At 36.0% G+C, this 25,391-nt stretch overlaps 1 long non-coding RNA gene across 3 annotated transcripts in view; it reads right to left on the bottom strand.

The window, feature by feature from the left end:
* Nucleotides 1-6,612: 6,612 nt before the first annotated feature.
* The window catches only part of LOC105376076 (uncharacterized), a 38,952-nt gene continuing 20,173 nt past the window's right edge, over nucleotides 6,613-25,391 (bottom strand). For 2 of the 3 annotated variants that reach the window (XR_929908.2, XR_929909.3), the window contains exons 2-4: nucleotides 19,648-19,724; nucleotides 18,433-18,540; nucleotides 10,855-11,616 (exon numbers count right to left, since the gene is read on the bottom strand). This is a non-coding gene — a long non-coding RNA (uncharacterized LOC105376076). Of the gene's footprint in view, nucleotides 6,966-10,854; nucleotides 11,617-18,432; nucleotides 18,541-19,647; nucleotides 19,725-25,391 lie in introns of those variants that run through there. The other variant, XR_929910.3, reaches the window with a different exon arrangement.

The raw sequence follows: 25,391 nt of genomic DNA, 5'->3' as shown, positions 1-25,391 counted from the left end.
GTCCTGAATGATGTTGTTGATCTTTATAATGTACATCACAACTGTGTTGATTTCCTTTTATATCCTTTAGATAAATAAACCCTGTTTGATCTACCCAAGGAGTATGTGTCCAGTGTTTCCACCATTCTGAGCTTACAACTGGCATTGGTCAATACTATGGTCATGCACTTTCCACTTTTCAGTTCGGATAGGTAGGGATTATATATTTTGGGGATGAATATAGAGACTTTTTCTTCTGTCCATGGGTAAAATTTATAAATAGATGACTGCTTATGGTAGTATTTGTTAACCTGGGGCCAGGTATCATTTAGGGGAGAAAGGGCATTCTAGGCAGAGAGAGCAGCATTAGAAAAGGCAAGGAGGCAGGAAGGCACAGAGCAAGGTGATGCATCTCACAGGCCTCTGCAACACGGCATATTGTTCACATCTAATTTGAAATGCAAGCTTTCGTCTTCTACAGGCAGAGGAATTAATGGAAGAAAAGACTGAAGCAAACAGCTGTGCCCTAAGGGGAGCCTTCTTAAGACCGCTTATTTCTAGGTTCTCTTGCACTAAGGAGGGCAAGCGACATCATAGGCTTAGCTTAGCCCCAAGACATTGCCTTCTGGATGTTGTTCTCCTTCATTCGCACTGCACAAGGACCACAGTCACATTTGACTCTTAAGTGGGAATTTGACACAATCAAAATGTTCATTTTCAAAAATATGAGACCTAAATAAACAAACAAATATTTTCAGAGGGAACATTAGCTAAAACAACTATTTGCTAACTATGAATGTGTACTTCTCTCTCTCTGCATTGACAATTTCCTATTTGATATTAATCGCAGTTGCTAACATTCATCCCATTATCCATAATAGAGCTCCCAATTCCAATTCCATCAATTTGCATATACCATTCAATAACAACAATTTTCTTTTTTTCTCAAGATTTTTTCATCTTATCTTTGTACAATGTAGAAAATAGGGAAGGAAGGAAAGAAGCTAAGAAGGAAGGAAGGTCACAAAGAATACCAACACCACTGTTAATATTTGTACTAATAATCTTTATTATTGTTATGTAATGACAATATATACACCATTTTGTAATTTTTTTGCTCAACAATATGTTTTGCTCAACAATAAGTTAAAATTTTCCCTGTCATTATATATTCCAAATATAATACTTTATGACAGGAGAACATTTCATTGTTTGAGTAGTCCAAAAAATATCCCCTATTGTTAGATATTTATTATTTCCTAGTCTTCATTATTATAATGAATGCTGCCATTAACATCCTTCTAACTAAATGTTTTCATGCATGCATAATTATCTCTATATGAAAATAGGTAGAAACTGAATTTATGGATCAAAAACTAAGCACATCTTTATGACTTTTGATCTCTATAGCACATAGCCTTCCAGAAAGGCTGAAAGAATCTATACTCCCTCCAGCAGTGCCTGAGTATACTAATTTCCCCAAATTCTCTTTGTTATGAGCAATATATATATATATGTATATATTTTTTGTTGTTGTTGTTTGTTTGTTTAATTAAAGATTGGGCCTCACTATGTTGCCTAGGCTGGTCTCGAACTCCTGGGCTCAAGTGATCCTCCCACCTCAGCCTCCCAAAGTGCTGGGATTACAAGCATGAGCCACCCGTGCCTGGCTGTTATGAACATCATATTTAAGAAGGTCTTTTTCCCCTTTCTTTGGCCTTTCTTTCCTACTAGTTGCCAACTATGAACACAATAATATGCCAAAGTTGTGCTAAAAGAAAGGTTTGTTTGTCTTATAAACACTTCATCAAAAGCATCCCAAGGACTAGTGATACACAGAATCTGAAGGATGTGACTTCTCCAGGATAGATCAGGGGCTTTGTGGGGAAAAGCAGAGTAATAAAAAAAGGTCTGAATGGGGACAATGAGGAAAAATAAAAATTGGCCCTTCGTTATTCATCTGAGAAAGACTCTGTAGAGCAATAGGTGACTCGGTTGGAGAAGTCACTCAATGTTTGCACCATCTTCTGGATATTATATTCAGTGTAGACTTTATCCCTGAACTCCAAACTTAACGTATGTAACTACCTATTTTCAGGTTTTCACTTGTTTAGCTATTCATCTCATCACCACATTACCAACATAGAGTCCATTAGAGAAACCTATTAATTCTACCTCTAAAATAATTTGGTCCACTTTTCTCCAAATTACTGCCATCTCCCATCTGGCTATTGACTCTAAATCGTTCTCCCTGCTTCTACAATCATTCTCCTCACAGCAGCCAAAGGGTGATAGTCACCTCGTGTTATCTCCCAGCTTAAAATAATCCAACAGCTTCCTATAACTCTTCCAATAAAACCTCAACTCCTTATGAGGCTTATAAGCCATTACACATGAAGGGGATCCTGCCCACTTTTCCAACACCATTTAGCAGTACCCTTCCCCTCTATCACTCTACACCAGCCATACTGGCATCATTTCTGCTCCTATAGCATGTTGAGTTCTTTTTCACATTAGAACTCTTGTTTCTGCTGTTCCACCTCCTTGACCAGTCTTCTCTTCACTCTTTACTTGTGTAGCTCTTCTCATTTATCATGTCCCATCCCAGAAAGTACCTTCCTGACTACCCAGTTTAAAGCCATCCCCACCCACCAACCCATTTACTTTCCATTACACAACCCTATTTTTTTCCTTTATTAGAAAACCAAAACTACCTTTTTATTTATTTGCGTGCTTGGTTACTGTCTTCCGCTCTAAAATGTAATCTCTGTGACTCCAATGACTTACTTTTCACTGACCCTTTGCATCTCTAACACCTAGTAGAATGCCTGGCACATTGCTGACCCCCAAAGAATGTTTGATAAATAGATAAATGGAAGGTATATACCACATTTTCGTTCTGGTAATAGGTTTTCTTACATGCACATATAATCATTATGGGTGTAACCAGGGGGGCACTTAATTTTAAGTAATTTTTTATTTGTTGGTAAAAGGCAGTGTGGCATTCTTTGAATAGCCAAAAATCTATTTAATCATTGTCCCTTATTATTGGAAATTTATATTTCACCCTTTTCACTATTATAAGCCATATTACATATGTAAATTTGAAGCTAATATATAATTATTAAAATTACTAAAGTGACTTTGTTAGATTAAAATGTTTTTTATATATTTCATTAAATTTCCCTCCAGAAATATTAAAAGAATTTATTTTCCATCAGCAGTGAACTAAAGTCCTTATATCTGGTATATCAGATTGCATTCAGCTAAAAGGAACAGAAAACTCTAATAGAAATCAGTTAATAAGGGAAAAAAACATCGCATTTAACAAAGGACCAATGGAACACTTTTCAGAATTGCTTGATTCCATGGCTTGATGGTGTCATTTTTCTTTTTGTACTTTGCCCTGAGGCTGACTCCCCTCAGACTTACAGGACAGCTGAACAGCTCTGGGCTGTATATCCCAGGAAGGCCATAACCAGAGGTAAAAATGAATCATCTTTTCTGGTGTTTCCTTCCTAGTATGAAGAAATCTTTCTCAGAAGCTTGAGAGCAGACTTCCTTCAGGTCTCATTGGCTGGAAATGGGTGACATTCCCTCTCCTAAACCAATCTCTGACAAGAGGACTGGGATTAACAGGAATTCTTTCTATCTAAGCCTTAAACCAACCTGGATTTTACCGTAGAGCAGAGTTGCATGGGTATTCCACCAGTAAGGAAGAAGTTAGGGTGAGGTGGATCTGCGTAGACAAAAATTTTGAGTCTTAATATTAAAAGAAAAAAAGAAAAGCAAAAAAGAAAAAACTTTGACAATTTGGTGAAGAACTACTACTTAAAATTGCATTTTTTTTTTAAACGGAGTCTGGCTTTGTTGCCCAGGCTGGAGTGCAGTGGTGCAATCTCCGCTCATTGCACCTTCCACCTCTTGGGTTCAAGCCATCCTCCTGCCTCAGCCTCCCAAGTAGCTGAGATTATAGGCATGCGCCACCACGCCTGGCTAGTTTTTTTTATTTTTTAGTAGAGACAGGATTTCATCGTATTGGCCAGGCTGGTCTCGAATTCCTGACCTCAGGTGATCTGCCCGCCTTGGAGTCCTGAAGTGCTAGGATTACAGGCATGAGCCACCATGCCCGGCCTTAAAATTGCACTTCTTTAATAGTTTACATTAACATTTTCTTATACTTTCTGCTAACTTTCTATCCTCTTTTGTTTTGTTTTCAGATGGAGTCTTGCTCTGTCACCCAGGCTGGAGTGCAGTGGTGCAATCTCGGCTCACTGCAATCTCCGCCTCCCAGCTTCAAGTGATTCTCCTGCCTCAGCCTCCCGAGTAGCTGGGATTACAGATATATACAACCTCGCCCAGCTAACTTTTGTATTTTTAGTAGAGACAAGGTTTCACCATGTTGGCCAGGCTGGTCTCAAATTCCTGATCTCAAGTGATCTGCCTGCCTCCGCCTCCCAAAGTGCTGGGATTACAGGCATGAGCCACCACACCTGGCCACTTTCTATCCTTTTTTAACTCCTTTGGGAGAGCTCAACTCTTCTTGGTGGCAGCAAAAAAGCAAAGAAAAATAATAGAAAAATAATCCAAGTAGCAGGCTGATATCATTACTAAAAACTCCAGCTAGTTTATAAGAGCCACTATTTTGATCAAATTCCCTCTACATTTCCAAGTCCACAACCTTCCTCCAAGCACACTGACCACTAGTAGAACAGATACAGCAATATGAATTCACAAAACATTTATTATTTGCATTAACCATATGTTTAATAGCAGGAGAATCAAGAGGACTGCAGCTCCCAAGAAGTTTCTTAAGTTTTACAACAACCCAAGAGCGTTCCCTTGTGATTTCATATTGTAATCTATGTCCTAGGCCTCTTACAACCTCCTCCCCACACCTTCCTTTAAGGTAGAAAAAGTTATATGACGCATGGCTCTGGCTCCAATTACACTTGTTTGCTTGGAAATTTTCTATTCTAATATCATTAACTTGATAAATCATTGATGTCACTGAGAATGGATACAAATAGATTAATCTAATTGTACCATCAGCTTCATTAATGTGAACTGCACTAAACACTGCAATCTCTCCTTATCTTTATCTGTTTTCTTCCAATATTTCTATTTCAGTCACTAATTAAATATACTTTAATTATAATAACTAGATAATAATACATTTCCCTCTTCTGAAAATGATTTCCTTTTTGGACAATAATACTTGACCATTTATTGCATTCTTTACCATTTGCTTATTGGTATGTGGGCTATTTATTTTTTATTTTTTATTTTTTTTAGTATTTATTGATCATTCTTGGGTGTTTCTCGGAGAGGGGGATGTGGCAGGGTCATAGGATAATAGTGGAGAGAAGGTCAGCTGATAAACACATGAACAAAGGTCTCTGGTTTTCCTAGGCAGAGGTCCCTGAGGCCTTCTGCAGTGTTTGTGTCGCTGGGTACTTGAGATTAGGGAGTGGTGATGACTCTTAACGAGCATGCTGCCTTCAAGCATCTGTTTAACAAAGCCCATCTTGCACCGCCCTTAATCCATTTAACCCTGAGTTGACACAGCACATGTTTCAGAGAGCACGGGGTTGGGGGTAAGGTTATAGATTAACAGCATGCCAAGGCAGAAGAATTTTTCTTAGTACAGAACAAAATGGAGTCTCCTATGTCTACTTCTTTCTACACAGACGCAGTAACAATCTGATCACTTTTTCTTTTCCCCACATTTCCCCCTTTTCTTTTCAACAAAACCGCCGTCATCATCATGGCCCGTTCTCGATGGTCGCTGTCTCTTCTGAGCTGTTGGGTACACCTGCAGAAAGGCTGTCACTTCACACTTGGAAGATTGCTCAGCGGCCAGGCAGAGGCACTCGTCACTTCCCAGATGGGGTGGCGGCCGGGCAGAGGAGCTCCTCACATCCCAGATGGGGCGGCCAGGCAGAGGCACTCCTCACTTCCCAGACAGGGCAGCCAGGCAGAGGCACTCCTCACTTCCCAGACGTGGCGGCCAGGCAGAGGCGCTCCTCACTTCCCAGACAAGGTGGCCGGGCAGAGGCGCTCCTCACTTCCTAGACGGGGCGGCCGGGCAGAGGCGCTCCTCACATTATGTGGGCTATTTATATATTAGAATTTTCGATTATGTATTATATGGGTTACCAGATCTTTTTCATATTATTTTTCTGTCTTTCAGACTTGATTAGAAATATCTATCTATCCATCTATGGATAGATATATTTATTTTTTCCATGTATATATCTTCTATTAATCTACATCGTTTTATCCATCTAAGTATTTTTATTAATTAGAAAATACATACCTTCTACATATTCTATCTCTATTAATAGAAGATACATAGATTAATGGAAGATATATATCTTCTATTAATAGCTATAGAGATACAGATGATATACCTTCTATTAATCTTTTTTCTTAAGACTTTCTGCCTTGGGTGACATGTTTAGAAAGGGTTCTCATCCAGGGATTAGGTATGTATATCCACTCATTCTTTTCAAGGATCTTAAGCCTTTTAGTTTTACCGTAAATGTCAGCTTTATTTATGTATTTATATATTTAGCTAATGAAAACTTTTCAAATACTGACAAAAAAATTATTGAGGCAATACATTAAAGCTGACATGAGAAATGAGGGCTTTCAGGCAGGGCTTTGTCCTATTGATGACATTCTTCTCTTTCACATTTATTTACTCTCCTTGGATGACATCATCATCACTCATAGCTACTACATTCACACTGATGACCACCAAATCCAAATTTCCAGTCCAACATGTAAACGAATTCCCCGAGTCATGAGAAGTAGAAGAGAGTCGAAGAGTCAGGTGAAATGAATTGAGACCCAGTGGTAAAATAACTGAAGGGAAAAGATGAATGTTGCTAATGTTGGGCCAGCACTGTCATTCAGCTTCATTTCATTAATCTTCTGTTTGCTGTGGCCAAGGTCAAAGGGATTCCAGCTTTAAACTCCTGCTGCAAGAAACAAGAATGCTATCTGGAACCACAAAATCAAAAACTGCAGGAAGGACTGAGACAAGGAAGTATTCATGGCTTCTTCTTGAACTATGCATTGGATGGGAAATTGGCAATCAGGATTTCTATAATGATTAAAGAATATACACCTACTTACCTGTCATAATTCATGAACTGAAAAAGAGGGAAAATGTGTTCAAGAGTCATTTCCATCTGAGTATATCTTATACATCTATTTTTTCATAAAGAGATTGCTATGTTTGCCACTTTTTAAAGAAAAATTATATTATATTCAAAAATTAAAACCAGTAAATTAAAAAAAGAGAGGCAGAAGTGAGTTGGGCTCAATTTCCAGAGGTAAATCAATGAAATTTTAAAAAGCTTCTTGTGCAGTACTCTGAGAGTTTTTGTAGAAGTTGATTTAAAAGTGAGAGAATTCAGGATACAGGTGTTTTGGGTTGTTTTGTTTTTAATAAATTACTAATCAGTTTAGGATCTTCTATGTGTTCTATGTGTCAGGGGAAATTGACAATTTAAAGTGAGGAAAATAGACACCTCAAAAAAGTTAAAAAGGGTCAGAACTAACATTGGAAATCATGTTTTCAAATTATAATTTTGGTATTCTTTCTACTCCTTTACCATAAATTTCTCATTTTCTCAGATTTTGTAATAAGGCCAAATGATAAGCTGGTTACAAACAATTGCAATGGCTTGGTAATATTAGAGCATTAAGAAGATAAGGTCGAGGCAACAGGAAAATCATAGCAGAAACAAGTTGTCATCATATCCACCCATCTGTTTAAACACCCTCCATCTGTTTAATCAGGGTGGCTTTGAGCCAGAGAGAGAAGAGGAACTGCAAAAAGCTAATGTGTGACACCCAAAATTCTGGAAACAGCTTTTCTGGATTTTAAAAAGAAAAAATATTGCTTTTAACCACTCTCTCAAAGGAAAGCACACAGTAAGTTGTGGAGCTCAAGGGAAGAACATGGGCTCTGTTATGGTGCAAGTCCCAGCTCTGCCACTTATTGTAGATTTTAGGCTAAGCCACTTATCTAAGCCTTGCTTTCCTCATCTAGACAATGGAGAAAAAGACAGTAGCTACCTCATAGAGTTCCTAAGAATTAAATTCAAAAATATATTCAATAGTATATGTAAAGCATTTAGCAGAGTGCTGGGCACAAGGTAAGCAGAATAATGATCTCTTGCTGTGGTTTTTGTCACAATAAGGAGCATAGATAGTTCTAAGACATTTCTTTATGGTGGCTTTTAGTTCTCGAAACTAATATCCCACTTCTTTCCAATTCTTTGCTCTTAAACCAAAGAGTAAACCCTGATGTTTTCTCCATGATAACAGAATTTGAAGACAGAAGGAAGTCTGATTTAATTTGGTGTGTAATATTGAGTCAGCAACTTGATCTCTTAGAATTTCATTCCTTATCTGTGAATTGAGGATACCAGTAAGATCTCATGAAGTTGTTTTGAGTGCTAAATAAAGTAGATAGGTAAGAGATGGTTATTTTTGCATTAAAGCCTCTATAGACTCAAAAAGTCCATACAATATGGGTTATAATTACTCATCACTCCAAATGCATATGTAAAAGTGGCATTACTATTAGCAGAGCCTCATTGTCTTCCCACTATTTTTCAAGGCTTATTTTCCTCATAGCCATTTCTCTTTCCGATTCTGGACTCCTTTATTTGGACCAAAACAGATGACAGGTGAATAGCCTTTATTTGTTCATTGGACATAATAGCCCAAGATTCTGAAATGCCACAGTGATTCCTGTTCTATGTGCTAACCAGACAATTTCAGCTACTAAGAAGCAGAACCAGTTCACAATCTGTGAACTCTCCAAGGATATGATATCAATTTCTCATTTTTCTTTGCAACCCTAGCACAGGGTCTAACACTAAGAATTAACTCTAAAAAAAGTAGGTTAGGTTGGGCTATGACAGCCTTCTGTGTCATGAGCAAGAATCCAGATATGTCTTCAGGGGGTGATAACGAGCAAGTCAAAGCTTTTAAGCATAGAATTAACACAATCATGTTTGTGTATTAGAAAAATCACTCTGAAAGTTGTGGAAGGAGGAAGTTTGGCCTGCAGGTATAACCTGCATAATCAACATAATCAAGGAAAGGGAAAATAGTCTAAGAACTCTGCCTAATTAGGAAGGCAAGTATTTAAAATATTTTTAAAAATATTTTCATCAATATCCTTAACATTTGATGTAGTTATGTTTAATAATATAATTAATACCTAATAGTTACTGAAAATTAGAAAATACAGAGAGATAAAAGGAGAAAAATTAATTATCCATATACTACCTCTCAGAGATAAACTACATTTTGGAATACAACTATCGGCAGATTTTTTTCCTGGATGTGTGTCGTATGCATGTGGAGAGAGACGAGGAGAGAGAGGGAGGATCAGATATGAAAACAAATAAAAACATTTTAAAAATCAGGAAAAGGAAGATCCACAGACAGAGGTAGACATATGAGGAAGAATTCTTATAGGAAGTCAACACATACAATCCAAAGTTGGTAAGTTGAGAACGCCCAGAAGAACTAAAAGTAGACACTATGAGCAGTGGGCCTAAGAGTGGGAATAAGAGTGGCAGACTTTACTTTAAAAAAAATAGCTTGAGATATAATTCACATGCCATACAATTTACCCTTTTAAAGTGTGTAAATGAATGACTTTTAGTATAGTCACAAAGTTGTGCATCCATCACCACAATCAATTTTAAAGCTTTTCATCACCCCCAAAAGAAACCCCACCCGATTTAGCCACCACCCTCCAACTACTCTCATCTCCCACTCAACATTTGGCAACTTCTAATCTACTTTCTGTCTAAATAGATTTATATGTTCAGGATATTTCGTATAAATAGATACCATAATATGTGGTCTTTTGTAACTGGCCCCTTTCACTTAGCAAAATGTTTTCAATGTTCATACATGTAGTAGCATAAGACCTTACTTTAAATTTAAAACTTTCTGTACTAGTTTACTTGATTTTGTTTATACCATTGGCATTTCTTGCTTTTATAATCTAAAAAAATGGAAAAAATATCTTGTATGCATATTGTTAAATACCAATATGATAATTGCTTTCTGCAATCTGTATTTTTCCCTTCAAACCATGTGACAAATGAGAGTGATTAAGATCTAGTAAGCCAGGTATTGTGCTAAGTACTTCCATGCATCATCTAGTTAATATGCACAAAAAATCTTTGAAATATTATAGTTATTTTATAGAAAACTGAGGCATTTTATAGACGAGGTCAGAGTTAGTGACTTGTAGATCCTACGTTTTGAAACCAAGGAGTCCACCTCTAGAGCCTGCATTTTTCAGAACAGTAAATAGAGATGCTTTGACTTTTTTTTTTTTTTTTTTTTGAGACAGAGTCTCACTCTGTTTCCCAGGCTAGAGTGCAGTGGCATGATCTCAGCTCACTGCAACCTCTGCCTCCCCGGGTTCAAGCGATTCTCCTGCCTCAGCCTCCCGAGTAGCTGGGACTACAGGCGCCCGTCACCACGCCCTGCTAATTTTTTGTATTTTTAGTAGAGATGGGGTTTCACTGTGTTAGGCAGCATGGTCTCAATCTCCTGACCTCGTGATCTGCCTGCCTCAGACTCCCAAAGTGCTGGGATTACAGGCATGAGCCACTGCGCCTGGCCACCTTGACATTTTTAAAAGCATTAGAAGTTAGAAATGTAGACCTCCATCATATAAAGTAACTGTAGTTATACAGAGCACCTTGTCTTTGAATAAAACATGATGTTTTTCAAATAGTATCAATAATTTTAAAAATCAAAGCCAGCAAGAGAAAAACATTATCAGTGATTTCTATAGACTGTGAAAGGACTTTACGGGCTGTTTTTAGCTTTCCCATACTACATTTAAGATATTTTTTGAATGTAATGGCTGAGTTACATGTAACCAGGCTTTTCAGAGATATTCTATTACATAAAGCAAGATACCCCTGAATATTTACAGCTGCTCTTTCGCAAAGTACAACACTAGAAAATTATGCTATCTTTGCCTGGTTACAGAGAGAGTGTCATCCATAGCCATAGTATTTCTTATCCCCTTAGAATGAAGGGATATTCACAGATATCAAAAGCACTCCCAAGGCAACAATTTTGAAGCCAAAAACATAAATCAAAATATTAAGCAATTCTGTGTTTGTGTTTCTTATTAATACATATTGTTCTGTTAAGGCTTCCCTTTTGGTAGGACTATTATAGACTGCAGAATGAGCTGCTTTTCATGCGTGATTCCATATGGCAAAAAGAACAATGTTCGAGGGGTAAAATTAAGCCATCTGTGGTGGTGTTCATTTTCTTCTTTTAAACTGGTACTTTTAATGGTAAGTCATTAAGATGTATGAACATATTTCCCCTTTATTAGATGTCCTCTTCATTTTAAAAAACTGTGTTTAACTGGCAAATCTCGCATAGTCATTTGTATTTTTTATTTTTTGGTGGATTTTCATGACCATACAGGTTCTTCTCCTTCAAAAGCAAAATGCCATAATAGTAAATACTACCAATTCTGTATCTATTTCTTTCCACAAAAAAGGTGAAAATATCATTGCAGGCTTTTACATGGTTTTTCTTCGAACTTGTTTCTGTTAAATTCTAGAAATGAACAACAAAAGATAGAATTATTAATTTCTGGTTCATTACCAAAGTGATGAAGTTGTCACTGCTGAGAAATGCTGAAGGGACATAATGCATGCAAGGCTATGTTTTTAAATAAAGGTTGTCAGAACCAACGCAAAGTAGGTATGCAATAAAAATACAAGTTGAATACATAAATGGAGGAGCAAATGAATTAGAACCATGGTTCCTAAATCCAACTTTCGGTTTTCCCTTATTCTTGAGAAAATATATTTCTTGGACATCGCAAGATGTTGAAATTGTATGTTTATCTGTGGGACAATTATAAAAGGCATAACATACATTGAGAAAGAAACAGAAGGAAGGTTTGATATAATAATGGCTGAGAATTTTCAAAATTGATGTTAGGCACGAAACCATAGATCCAGGAAGCTCAGAGAACAACAAGCAGGATAAATTCCAAAAAATCTGAACTTAGATATTTCTTATTCAAACTGCAGAAAATTAAAGACAGAAATAAAATATTGATAGAAGCCGGGGGGGGGGGGGGAACATGTTACCTATAAAGAAGCAAGAATAAGAATTACATCAGATTTCTCTTCAGAAACCATGCAAGCAAGAATAGAATGGAATACAATATTTAAAGTGTTCACAAAAAAAAAACCACCAACCTAGATTTTGTATCCAGTGAAATTATCCTTCAAAACTGAAGGAGAAATAGAGACTTTCTAGACAAATAGAATTTGAAGGAATTTGTCATGTTAATAGAAGCTCTTCAGAGAGCAGTAAAATAATATAGGCCAGAAACTTGGATCTACACAAAGGAGAAGGCTTAGAGAAGGAACAAAATAAAAGTAAAATAAAATCTTTTATTTTTCTTATTCTTAACCTAAAAGCTAAATTTGTTCAAAATAATAATAATAGCAACATTGTATTCAGTGATTATCACTTATGTATAAGTAAAATAAAAAACAGCAATGCTATAAGGGATGGGGGACAAATTGGGAATATACTGTTATGAGGTACTTGCACCATACTTTTTTCTTTTTTTTTCTTTTTTTCTTTTTTTTTTTTTTGAGATGGAGTTTCACTCTTGTCACCCAGGCTGAAGTGCAGTGGCACAATCTCAGCTCACTGAAACGTCTGCTTCCCAGGTTCAAGCAATTCTCCTGCCTCAGCCTCCCAAGCAGCTGGGATTACAGGTGCGCACCACCATGCCCAGCTAATTTTGTATTTTTAGTAGAGATGGGATTTCACCATGTTGGTCAGGCTGGTGTCAAACTCCTGACCTCAAATGATCCACCTGCCTCAGCCTCCCAAAGTGCTGGGATTATAGGCGTGAGCTACCGCACCCGGTCACTTGCACAATTCTTTAAGAAGTAGAGTAGACTTTGAATAGCTGTAAATATATATTTTACACTCTAGGACAACCACTAAAAAATTTTAAAAGAAGTATAATTGATATGTGATATATTCTCAATGGTATTCCCCCCAAAATTCATAAGTTGAGTTTTGTACCTAACCCTCAATACCTCAGAATTTGGCTGGATTAGCAGATAGGGCATTTAAAAAGGCAACTATGTTAAATTGAGAGCATTAGGGTGAGTGCCAATCTCATATTATTGACGTCCTTAGAAGAAATTTGGACACATGAACAGACACTGGGAATGTGTGCATACAGAGGAGAGACCATGTGGGGACGCAGCGAGATGGCAGCCATCTGCAAACAAAGAGAAAGGCCTGAGAAAAAACTAACTCTGCCAACTACTTGATTTTGGACTTCTAGCTCCAGATGTGTGAGAAAAATAAATTTCACTTGTTTAAACCACCCAGTCTATGGTATTTTGTTATGATATCCTTAGCAAACTAATACTAAAGAGGGGAGAGAAAGTGAAATCATATAAAATGTTCCATTAAAACCAGAGAAAGCAGAGAAAGACAAAAAAATAAACAAATAAAAGCAAAGAACAAGGGTAACAAATAGAAAACAGTAACAAATATGGTAGATAAAAATCCACCTACATCAGTCACATTAAACATTAGTGCTCTAACTTTAAGCATCAGTGGTCTAAATACAGCGATTAAAAGACAGTGGTCTCTGTCTTTTACTTTGTAATCCACTGTGTCGGAGTGGATTAAAAAAAAGAAAAAAGACCCAACTACGTGTTTACATAATTATGTTGGATTCTAACATGAGTAAATGCATGCAAATGAACTGAAACAATGGAAAAAGGTGCATAATTACTAATAGAATAATGAAAAAACTCTTAGGTGAGAAAAAACTTACAAGATTATGTTCTCCATAAGAACTGTCCTTGGTGATTAGTACGGTGGCTGGAACACAGTTAGTGCTCAACAAATATTTGTTGAATAAATACATGAATTTAAAAATTCAAAATAGTCAGAAACCTAATATGATTATCCAACCACCATCATCACAACCATGAAATCAGTCATCTACCAGAAAAAATAAGTTATTCTTCAAAACAGCTCATTAAATGTGTCTGTGCCCTCACCTTCTGTGTTCTTCAGAGCTTAGGGTTTGCATAGCCTGCTATGTAAGGAATGTTCAGAAACAAAAAGAAATTTAAAAAATAGGACACAGAAAGAAACACTTTCAACTGTAATCTCCCTTCCCATCCTTTCTCCATGTTGAGGTGTGAAAGAGGGAAGGTCAATGGCATGAGACAGACTTTTCTCCTATATGAGTGATCTTAAAATATGTCCATACACACACACACGCAAATGATGCCTCAAAGTACTGCATGGAGCTTGTTAGTTCCCTTATTTTTCTTGCAGCACAGTCCATCTAAATGCTGGTAAGAAAGGGAAGAATCTAGGAATTCAAGAAAACCAGTTTTCCCTATCTAGGCAATTCATGGGTTTCCAATGTCATATCTACCAGCAAATAGCTATCTAGAATAATGTACACTGTTTTTAAAAACTTCTCCTCTATTAGTTCTTTAAAGTTTGAAATATCCTAGGCTAGAAAATTACTTATTCTAAAGACTTAAGTTCTTGTCTTAAAGACAGTACAGTAGTCCCTCCTTATCCACGGGGAATACATTCCAAGACCCCCAGTGAATGCCAGAAACTATGGATAGGACCAAACCCTATATGTCAATATTTATTCCTATATATACATACCTATGATCAAGTTTAATTTATAAACTAGGCACAGTAAGAGATTAGTAATAACTAGTAATAAAATAGAACAATTATAACAATATACTGTAATAAAAGTTATATGAATGTTGTCTCTCTCTCAAAATATTGCAGTATCTTTGGACTACAGTTGACCACAGGTAACTGAAACCTCAGCAAGTGGAATAGCACATAAGAGGGGGCTGCTACAGGAATGAATTGAGAGCTTGCTTGTAAAACTCTGTGCTTGCATTTAGAAGGACAAATCTAGATTTTTGAAAAGGCATCTTAGTCCTAAAATCTACATTTGGCTACTCATGCAATTAACAACTCTTTTTTTTGTTTTGTTTTTTGTTTTTTTGAGATGGAGTCTCACTCTGTCTCCCAGGCTGGAGTGCAGTGGCACAATCTTGGCTCACTGCAACCTCTGACTTCCAGGTTTAAGCGATTCTCCTGCCTCAGCCTCCCGAGTAGCTGGGATTACAGGTGTCCACCACCATACCTGGCTAATTTTTGTATTTTTAGTAGAGACAAGCTTTCACCATGTTGGCCAGGTTGGTCATGAACTCCTGACCTCAGGTGATCCACCCACTTCAGCCTCCCAAAGTGCTGGGATTACAGGCATCAATTAACTACTCTTATAATAAAAACAAAGGAATTGAATTGCATGGCATTGGGTTCCAATTCAGGTTTATAATTTGAAATGAAAGAGTCCTAGTTTACACAGTCAAAAATGTGTCAGAGAGCAGTTTGTATTTTTCCAAATATGATTTCTGAAATGTCTGAAATACATTTTGTTTAAACAAGCTATGTCTCCTTTATTAGAATAGTACTGATTAAGAGCTTTTAATCTTTCAATCAGTGGACAAGCAAAAGTTTCCATTTGTTCTATTTCAAAAGAAATTATTGCTTTGCAAAGTAGATTTACATCTTAATAAGACTGTCGGTGGATAAGGTTAATCTGCTCTAAAAACAAGTTTTTGGGATCAGGTTCTAGGTTTTGGTCAGCTTTGTCACCCCGATGGACTGCCATGCCTACAGCAGATCCCCAACAAATATTGCTCAATTGAAATACTTCATCAAATAGATTATTTGTGTGAAGATAGATAGTGTTAACCATAAATGAACCTCATCTTTTTATTGCATCAAGCTAAAAATACTTATTTAATAGTTCCAGCTACCAAATACGGAGTACTTGAAAGACACGATATCATACTGAAATTATTTCTACAATTTAGGTTTATTGCTAGTCAGACTGACTCTCCTTAATAAAATAATTTTTCTATAAGTCTTAAAGAAGGGTGTCAAATTAATATTTAAAATAATTTCACTCATTCTTTTTTAAAAAAGGTTCATGAAATAACGCTTTTCTTGTTGAAAGAGAAGAGAGCTGTCAGCTCTGTTAGAGTCAGTAAGAAGGAACAATCCTTTCTTGGTATTGTTGTTGATGTTGGTATTGAGTTGTCACTGCCTTACAGACTTACCTAAGGATTGTAATAGTAAAAAAAGGATTATAAGAAAACTTACATTACTTGGTTATATTATTTGTATATGGTCTGGTGGCTCAAATATATATCAGTCATTAATGATAACCAAAAACCTATGGCTCAAATATACGTCAGTCATTAATGACAACAAAAATCTAACTCACTCTGACACAGATATAAATGGATATGGACTTTTGGGGGGCTGTGAGTACAATGTGGTCGGAACTATTCTTGGTCAAAATTAAATCTCATTAAAAATGTGAGAAAAATTATTAAACCATCTTAACTGAATTTTAAATATTTCATTTAAACTTTCTTGTAAAGAACATATTCATTAGCAGAAGATTAAATTTGCCCAAGTAACACAAAGTCATTTTAACTAGAGTTTATGAAATACAGGAATTTTAAAGCTAATAATTACCATGAGTCTGTACGATTTTGTAGCATTCATTATTTCTTGTGCATTAAAAAGTTCTGTAAGCCAGCTTTCCACCTTACATTAAAAATATAAGATACATCTGAACAGACTAGCTTATATTTTTAGTTCAATATACGTTTCTTTGCTAAGCAGCAGTAAAAAAAGTGGAAGCAAGATTTTTTTTGAAGTCATACTATATTCAATATTCATGATTCCTATTCATTATAACTAAACTGTAGAAGCTGAATGATTTTTCAGAATCTTTTCCCCAAAAGTATTCTATACTCCCATGAGAGGTTTTTTGTCTACTCTTTTTCTCTTTCATTAGAGAACAATGTTGACACCATTTTCATGATGCCATTTTCACCAGTTCACCATATGACAAGCTAAGCTTCACTACATACATTCTTTGTAGCATGGAGAAACCACAAATGCAGAATTCAATTTATCATGGTGAAAATATAGCCTGTTATAAAATTTAAAAATATAATGTTAAGTAAGTCTTCGTAAGTCTATCATACAGGAAATTTTATATACAGTGGCTCCCTATAAAATAAGAAAAGTTGGATAAATTAACGAAACAAAATGTGATTTAAAAATCTGAGCAACATTGCATGTATTGATGGTAATTTTGTCACTCAGTCTAAAATGGAATAAGGGAATAAGAACTTCAGAATTCTATATTACAGTTTTCTTTACAGTAATTCACTATATCATTAATAAAATATTTCACTGTAGTTTAAGCATATAAGTAAATTAACATCCCTCATTATAATACCTCACCAATAGTTAATAGTTACTTAAGCTAAAAACTCTATAGTTCCTAAATCATTGCTTATATGTATTAAATTATTGAGCAAAGAAACACCTCTATTATTTTATTGCCCAAGATTTTTTCAGAATTTCCTATATTGCTAAGAATGAAACATCTTTTCTGCAAATAAAGTACACTGTTATAATGCATACACAAAAATCGACTTGTGTTTAATTAGGAATTAGTGAATGACATGAAACAAATAAAAAACGCCTCAGTAAGGTCATTGGGTAAGTTCTGGATAGAAATCTCTGCTGTCTTAATGTGCTGTATGGTAAGTTTTCTTAAATGCCTCTCTTTTTTTAAGCTAAAAATCCATCAACTAGTGATTTGCGACTTTGTGACAAATTTCCTTTTTATGTGTACTTCAAATGAACCATTGTACCCAATGACAATATGACTTCACAAACTTGGCAAACATATAAGAGAATAAAGACCAAAAATTAAAAAAAAATCTAGAAATCAATCCTGTCTATAAAATATAGGACCCCTTAAAAACATGTAAAATGTTAATATTTTCTTTACATGTAACACAAAATTACATTTCCCATCCCTACTTCTAGCACACTGTAGAGTATAGGAGGCTAAAAATGGTAAAGGAAAAATATCCCAGAGAACTTAAGATCCTGACACAAATTTTTTGTTAATGGTTTATATCTAGTGTTATGGTTTGAATGTCTCCTTCCAAAAGTATGTTTTGGAAATTTAATCCCCAATGCAACAGTATTGAGAGGTGGGGCCTAAGGGTAGGTGTTTAGGTTATGAGGGTTCCACCCTCACGAATGGATTAATGTCAATTATAAAAGGGCTTGAGGTTGCAAGTTCAGTCTCTTGATCTCTCTCACCCTCTCTTTGCCCTTCTACCACGAGATGACACAGCCATAAGGCCCTTGTCAGGTGCTGGCCCCTTGTTCTCAGACTTCCCAGCCTTCAGAACCATAAGCTAATAAATGTATTTCATTTAAAATTACCCAGTTTGTGGTATTCTGTTTTACCAGCATAAACGGACTAAGACATCCAGGGAACCCAAACTGTGAACTTGGTTAAAGGTGGTTTCAGACTGGTGGTGCACCAGGTACCTGGAAGAAGCAAAAGCAAATCCTTTAATTAAAAAGGCATTTTTCATCCTGGGCTTTCAAGAATCCCCCAAAATATTTATTCAGGGATAATAAGCACAGAAGGCAGAAATATCATGAGCAATAAATAACCAAAACAAGAATTTAGGGAAATACATAAGCAAAGAATTCAGATATTGGAATTATTATATACAGTTTATAAAATAACTATGCTTAGTCTATTTGAACAAATAAAAAGATAACTCTGAAAGTATTTTCAAAAAACAAGGAGTTCTAAAACGAAACCTAGTATATTTGTAGAAAAACAAAAAAAGAACTTGTATAATTAAAAAATAATAATAAAATTTAAAACTCTAAGTACATTAAATATTGCAAAGGAGTAATTTAGTAAAACGAAAGACAGGACATATAAAATGATCCAAAATGTGGCAAAAAGAAACAAAAGTATGGAATATATGGAAGGAATGCTAAGAGACATGGAAAAAAGGTGAAAAATTCCAACATTCTTTTAATGTGAAGGAAAGGAAAAAGAGGAGGGTACAGAGACAATATTTTAAAATATATAGGCTGAGAGTTTTATAGAACTGATTAAATGCACAAGTTCTTTAGTTTAAAAAGCCTAGTGATTTCCAAGCAGGACAAATAAAAATAAAACCATAACTAGAAATGTCATACTGATATTATGTATTACCAAAGACAAAAGGAAAAATGTTAAAATCAGCCAGAAAAAAACAACTAGCAGATAACTTTCAAAGGAGTTATATGCTGATAGCTGACTTCTCAGCAGAGAAAATATGAGTCAAAAAGACAGTGAGATATTCTTCAATACGCAAGGGGAAAAAGACTGCCAAATGGGAATTCTAAACTCAGTGAAAATACCTTTCAAGAATAAGGATGAAGCTAGGTGACATCAGTAAAAATGGCGAGTAAAGACTCCAAAAATTCTTTCTGTACCTAAAAGCGATGAGCAACAGTGCAAAACTTGACAGACATTTCTGAATTTTTCAGAATTCTAGAAATTAATCAAATGCAAAAATATAGGAAATATTTATTCAAGAAAAACAACTGAAACTTGATAAGAACAGTGAGCTTTGTGTTGTTGTAACTTACCCTATTCCTATTCTTCCTTCTCAGCTATTCAGCACCTTGAAAATGAACAGCTCACAATCATGGTGAAAACCAGCAGCCTGTAGAGGGAAGAATGGAGCTAAGCTTCCTTCAAAGCCCTGTTCCCAGAGGATTGTTGTTTTTATCTGTTGGTGGTTCCCTGGAAGACCACATCCACAAAGTTGTCTTTATTTAATCTGACTCAGAGCTCATTCAGTGTAAACAGCCATATCCTTAGGGACTGCATTAGTCTTTCTTGCATTACTATAAATGAATACCTGATACTGGGTAATTTATAAAGAAAAGAGGTTTTGCAGGCTGTACAAGCATGGCACCAGCATGTCCTCAGCTTCTGGTAAGGCCTCAGGGAGCTTACAATCATGACAGAAGGCAAAGGGGGAGCCAGTGTGTCACATGGCAAGTGAAGAAACAAGAGAGGGAGGAGGTGGTGCAAGAATCCTTTAAACAATCAGTTCTCACATGAACTACCAGAATGAGAACTCATCATTACCATAGGAGGTCACCAAGCCATTCAGGAGGGATCTATTCTCATGACTGAAACACCTCCCGCTAGGCCACACCTCCAAGATCAGAAATTATATTTCAGTATGAGATTTGAAGAGGACACACATTCAAACCATATAAGATGCACTTGTCAAAAACAATTAAGGGCAATTGCCTAAAATTGTATACAATGGTTGGGGCAACAACAGGCTAGCCAAAAAGGTTAAAAGGAAAGTCTGGGGAATTAGACGTCTGTAGGAGATTCTGAAAAGCTTCAACATATTCTTGCAATCTAGAAGGAAGAGCATATATTTACGACTCTGTAAATACTCAGGAAAATCCTGAGAAGGTTCAACCCCTCTCACTTCTAGCTAAAATGGAGGCTCTTTGCAAGGAGAACATAAAGTTTAACTTTTTGTTAACTGCCTGGATGAATGTTGAAAGCATGCCACCACAAATATATAAAATCTCTCAGAAAAGACTTGGAGTCTTATTGGTTGCAGGCATTTAAGAAAATCACTATCCAATCATTACTTGATTACTAACCTAGCTAAGCAGAGACTTCACTGGCAACAAATAACAAAGAATACAGACTTTACCATATCAATTTGGAAAAGTTGCCAAATAAACAACTATCTACTACAATAAGCAGCAACCAACAACAGATCCTACAGAGGAGGAAGAATTTGATTTCCAGCGTTTTCATATTATATTATTTTAAATGTCCAAGTTTTGACAAAAATAATTATAATATATGCAAAGAAATAAGAAAGTATGGCTCATACACAGGAGAAACATAGTAAAAATAAACTATCTTGAGGAAAACCAACGGTTGGACTTACCAGACAACTAATTTATTTATTTATTTATTTATTTGAGACAGAGTCACACGCTGTCACCCAGGCTGGAGTGCAGTGGTGGACTCTTGGCTCACTACAACCTCTGCCTCCCAGGTTCAATTGATTCTCATACCTCAGCCTCCAGAGTAGCTGGGATTACAGATGTGAGCCACCATGCCTGGCTAATTTTTGTATTTTTAGTACAGATGGGGTTTCATCATGTTGGCCAGGCTGGTCTCGAACTCCTGACCTCAGGTGATCCACCAGACTCTGCCTCCCAAAGTGCTGGAATTATAGGTGTGAGCCACTGCACCTGACAAATAATTTAAATTAGCTAATTTAAATATGTTAAAGTAAGTAAAGAAACCCATGTTTAAAGAACTTAAGAGGCCAGACACAATGGTTATGCCTGTAATCCCAGCACTTTGGGAGGCTGAGATAGAAGGATAACTTGAGGCCAGAAATTTGAGAGCAGCCTGGCTAACATAGTGATAGCCTATTTCCACAAAATCTAAAAAATTAGCCAGGCACAGTGGCACAGGCATATAGTCCTAGCTACTCAGGAGGCTGAAGCAGGAGGATCATTTTTGCCCAGAGCTTTGAGGCTGCAGTGAGCTATGATTGAGCCACCAGATTCTAGCCTGAGCAACAGAGCAAGACCTTGTCTAATAAATAAATAAATAAACAAATAAATAACTTAAGGAAAATATGAGACCAATGTCCCACCAAACAGAAATTTTTTTAAAAAAGAGAAAGATAGAAATTATAGAAAAGGAACAAAAATCTCTGGACTTGAAAAGTACAATAACAGAAATGAAAGTTTCACTTGATGGGGTCAAGTAAAGACTGAAGCAGGTAGAAGAAAGCATCATGAACCATGAAGATAGATAAATTGAGATGATCAAATCCAATGGACAAAAAAATAAAATAATGAAGAAAAATAAATGAAGCCTCAGAGACCTGTGGGACATCACCAAACATAACAACATAAGCAACATGGCAGTCTTTGAAGGAGAGAAGAGAAAGGTGTAGAAAGAATAGTTGAAGAAAGAATGACTGGAAATTTCTAAAATCTGATGCAACTATTAATCAGCACATGTAATAAGCTCAGTAAAATTCAAGTAGGATAAACTCAAAGAGAGCCACAACTAGAAACATTATAATTATATATGTATATATATACAGATACATATGTATATATGTATATATCTGTAAAACAATATAATTATAATCTAATTGGCCAGAGTCAATAACAAAGAGTAAATGTGAAGGCAGCAACAAAGAAGCATCTTATCATGCACAAAGTATCCTTAATAAAACTTACAGCCAATTTCTCATCAAAAACATGGAAGTCAGAGGGCAGTGGGCAGACATATTCAAAGTGCTGAAAGAAAGACTATCAACCAAGAATCTCATCATCCAGCAAAACTATACTTCAAAAATGAAGAAAAAATTAAGAACTTTCCCAATAAAGAAAACTGAGAGAATTTGTCAGAGGCCCACCTGCCATACAAAAAATACTAAAGGGAATCCTGTAGGAGAAAATGAAAGAACACTAGATAGCAACTCAATTCACATGAAAAAATAAAGAGCACCAGTCAAGGTAACTAAATAAATATAAAAGGCTGCATGCATGTATTTTTTGGTTTGGAACTCTTTTTTATAAAATCTAATTTTTAAAACAGCTCTATAAAGGAATGATTATAGTCAATGTTGTTGGACAGATAATGTATAAAGATGTAATTTGTATGACAATAACAACACAAAGGAAGGAGAAGGAGATGAGGATCTGTAGGAGCAAAGTTTTTTTTAATATGATTGTAATTATGTTCTTATTTTGAATAGATTGTTATAAAATTAAATTTCAATTGTAATCCCTAGGACAATCACCAAGAATATAACTCAAAAAATAAATACAGTAAAAGGAATGTCAAGGTAATTTAAGTGGTATACTCTTGTAGACAGTATACAGTTGGATCTATTTTTAAGTCTATTCTGTCAATCTCTGTCCTTTAATTGGAGAGTTTCTTCTATGTACATTTAATGTAATTACTGAAAAGTAATGATTTATGTTTGCTGCATTTTGCTATTTGTTTTCTATGCCTTGTGTCTTTTTGTTCTTCTATTCCCCCATTGCTGCCTTTGTTTATGTTAAATAGTTATTTTATGTGTACCATTTAAGTTACCTTGTCATTTCTTTTGCTGTATTTATTTATTAAGATGGAGTCTCACTCTGTCACCCAGGCTGGAGTGCAGTGGTGCAATCTCGGCTCACTGCAACCTCCACCTCCCAGGTTCACATGATTCTCCTGCCTCAGCCTCCGGAGTAGCTGGGATTGCAGGCATGCGCCACCACTCCTGGCTAATTTTTTTTTTGTTTTGTATTTTTAGTAGAGACAGGGTTTTGCCATGTTGGCCAGGATGGTCTCGAACTCCTAACCTCATGTGATCCACCCAACTTGGCCTCCCAAAGTGCTGGGATTACAGGTGTGAGCCACCACACCCAGCCCTACAGTATTTAGTTTTTGAGTTATATTCTTGGTAGTTGTCCTAGGGATTACACACACTGCAGTTTGGCTCCCAGGAAGTCCCATCCTTAGGAGAAGGGGGAGTGTACCATATCAAGGGACCACCCCATGGGACAAAAGAACCTGAACAGCAGCCCTTGGAGTCCAGATTTTTTCACTGAAATAGTCTACCCAAATGAGAAGAAATCAGAAAAGTAATTCTGGTAATATGACAAAACAAGGTTCTATAACACCCTCGAAAGACTACACTAGCTCCCCAGCAATGGATCCAATCCAAAAAGAAATCTCGGAATTACCAGATAAAGAATTCAAATGGTTGATTATTAAGCTACTCCAAGAGATACCCAAGAAAGGTGAAAACCAACTTAAAGAAATCTTTAAAAAATACAAGATAGGAATGAAAAATGCTCCAGAGAAATAAATATCATAAAGGAAAAACAATCAAAACTTATGGAAATGAAAAACACACTTAGAGAAATACCGTCAAACAAGTAGAAGAAAGAACTCTGGAGTTCAAACACAAGGATTTTGTATTAAGCCAATCAGATGAAGGAAATAAAAGAATTTTAAAAAGTGAACAAAGCCTCCAAGAAATCTGGGATTATGTTAAACAACCAAACCTAAGAATAATTGGCATTTCTGAGAAAGAAGAGAACTCTAAAATTTTGGAAAACATATTTGAGAGAATAATCAACAAAAACTTCCCTGGCCTTGCTAGAGATCTAGACATCCAAATACAAGAAGCTCAAAGAACACCTGGGAAATTCATCTCAAAACAATCATCACCCACGCACATAGTCATCAGGTTATCTAAAGTCAAGACAAAGGAAAGAATCTTAAAAGCAAAAGCATCAGGTAACCTATAAAGGAAAACCTATCAGATTAACAGCAGATTTTTCAGCAGAAACCCTACAAGCCAGAAGGGACTGGGGTCCTATCTTTAGCCTCCTCAAACAAAATAATTGCCAGCTAAGAACTACACTTCATAAATGAAGGAGAGATAAATTATTTTTCAGACAAACAAATGTTTAGAGAGAATTCACTACTACCAAGCCAGCACTACAAGAAATGCTAAAAGGAGTTCTAAATCTTGAAACAAAGTCTCGAAATACATCAAAATAGAAGCTCCTTAAAGCATAAATCTCACAGGGCCTATAAAACAATAACACACACCTACACACAAACAAGGTATTTAGGCAACAACTAGCACAGTGAATATAACAGTACCTCACATCTCAATAGCAACATTGAATGTAAATGGCCTAAATGCTCCACTTAAAAGATACAGTATGGCAGAATGTATAAAAATTCACCAACCAAGTATCTGCGGTCTTCAAGAGACTCACCTAACACATAAGGACTCACATAAACTTAAGGTAAAGGGGTGATAAAAGATAGTCCATGCAAATGGAAACCCAAAGCAAGCAGGAGTAGCTATTCTTACATCAGACAAAACATACTTTAAAGCAACAACAGTTAAAAAACCCAAAGAGAGATATTATATAATGATAAAAAGGATCAGTCCAATGGAAAATATCACAATCCTGAATATATATACATCTAACACAGGAGCTCCTACATTTATAAGACAATTATTGCTAGACATAAGAAATGAGAAAGATGGCAACACAATAATAGTAGGGGACTTCAATATTCCATTGACAGCACTAGACAGGTAATCAAGACAGAAAGTAAACAAAGAAACAATGTACTTAAACTATACCCCAGAACAAATGGACTTAACAGATATTTGCAGAACATTCTACCCAACAACTGCAGAATATACATTCTTTTCACCAGCGCATGGAACATTTTCCAAGATAGACCATATGATAGGCCACAAAACAAGTCTCAATAAATTTAAGAAAATTGAAAT

This window comes from Homo sapiens, chromosome 9 (genome assembly GCF_000001405.40).
Source record: "Homo sapiens chromosome 9, GRCh38.p14 Primary Assembly".
Classification (NCBI taxonomy): Eukaryota; Metazoa; Chordata; class Mammalia; order Primates; family Hominidae; genus Homo; species Homo sapiens.
This window is presented reverse-complemented; position numbering and strand designations above follow the sequence as displayed.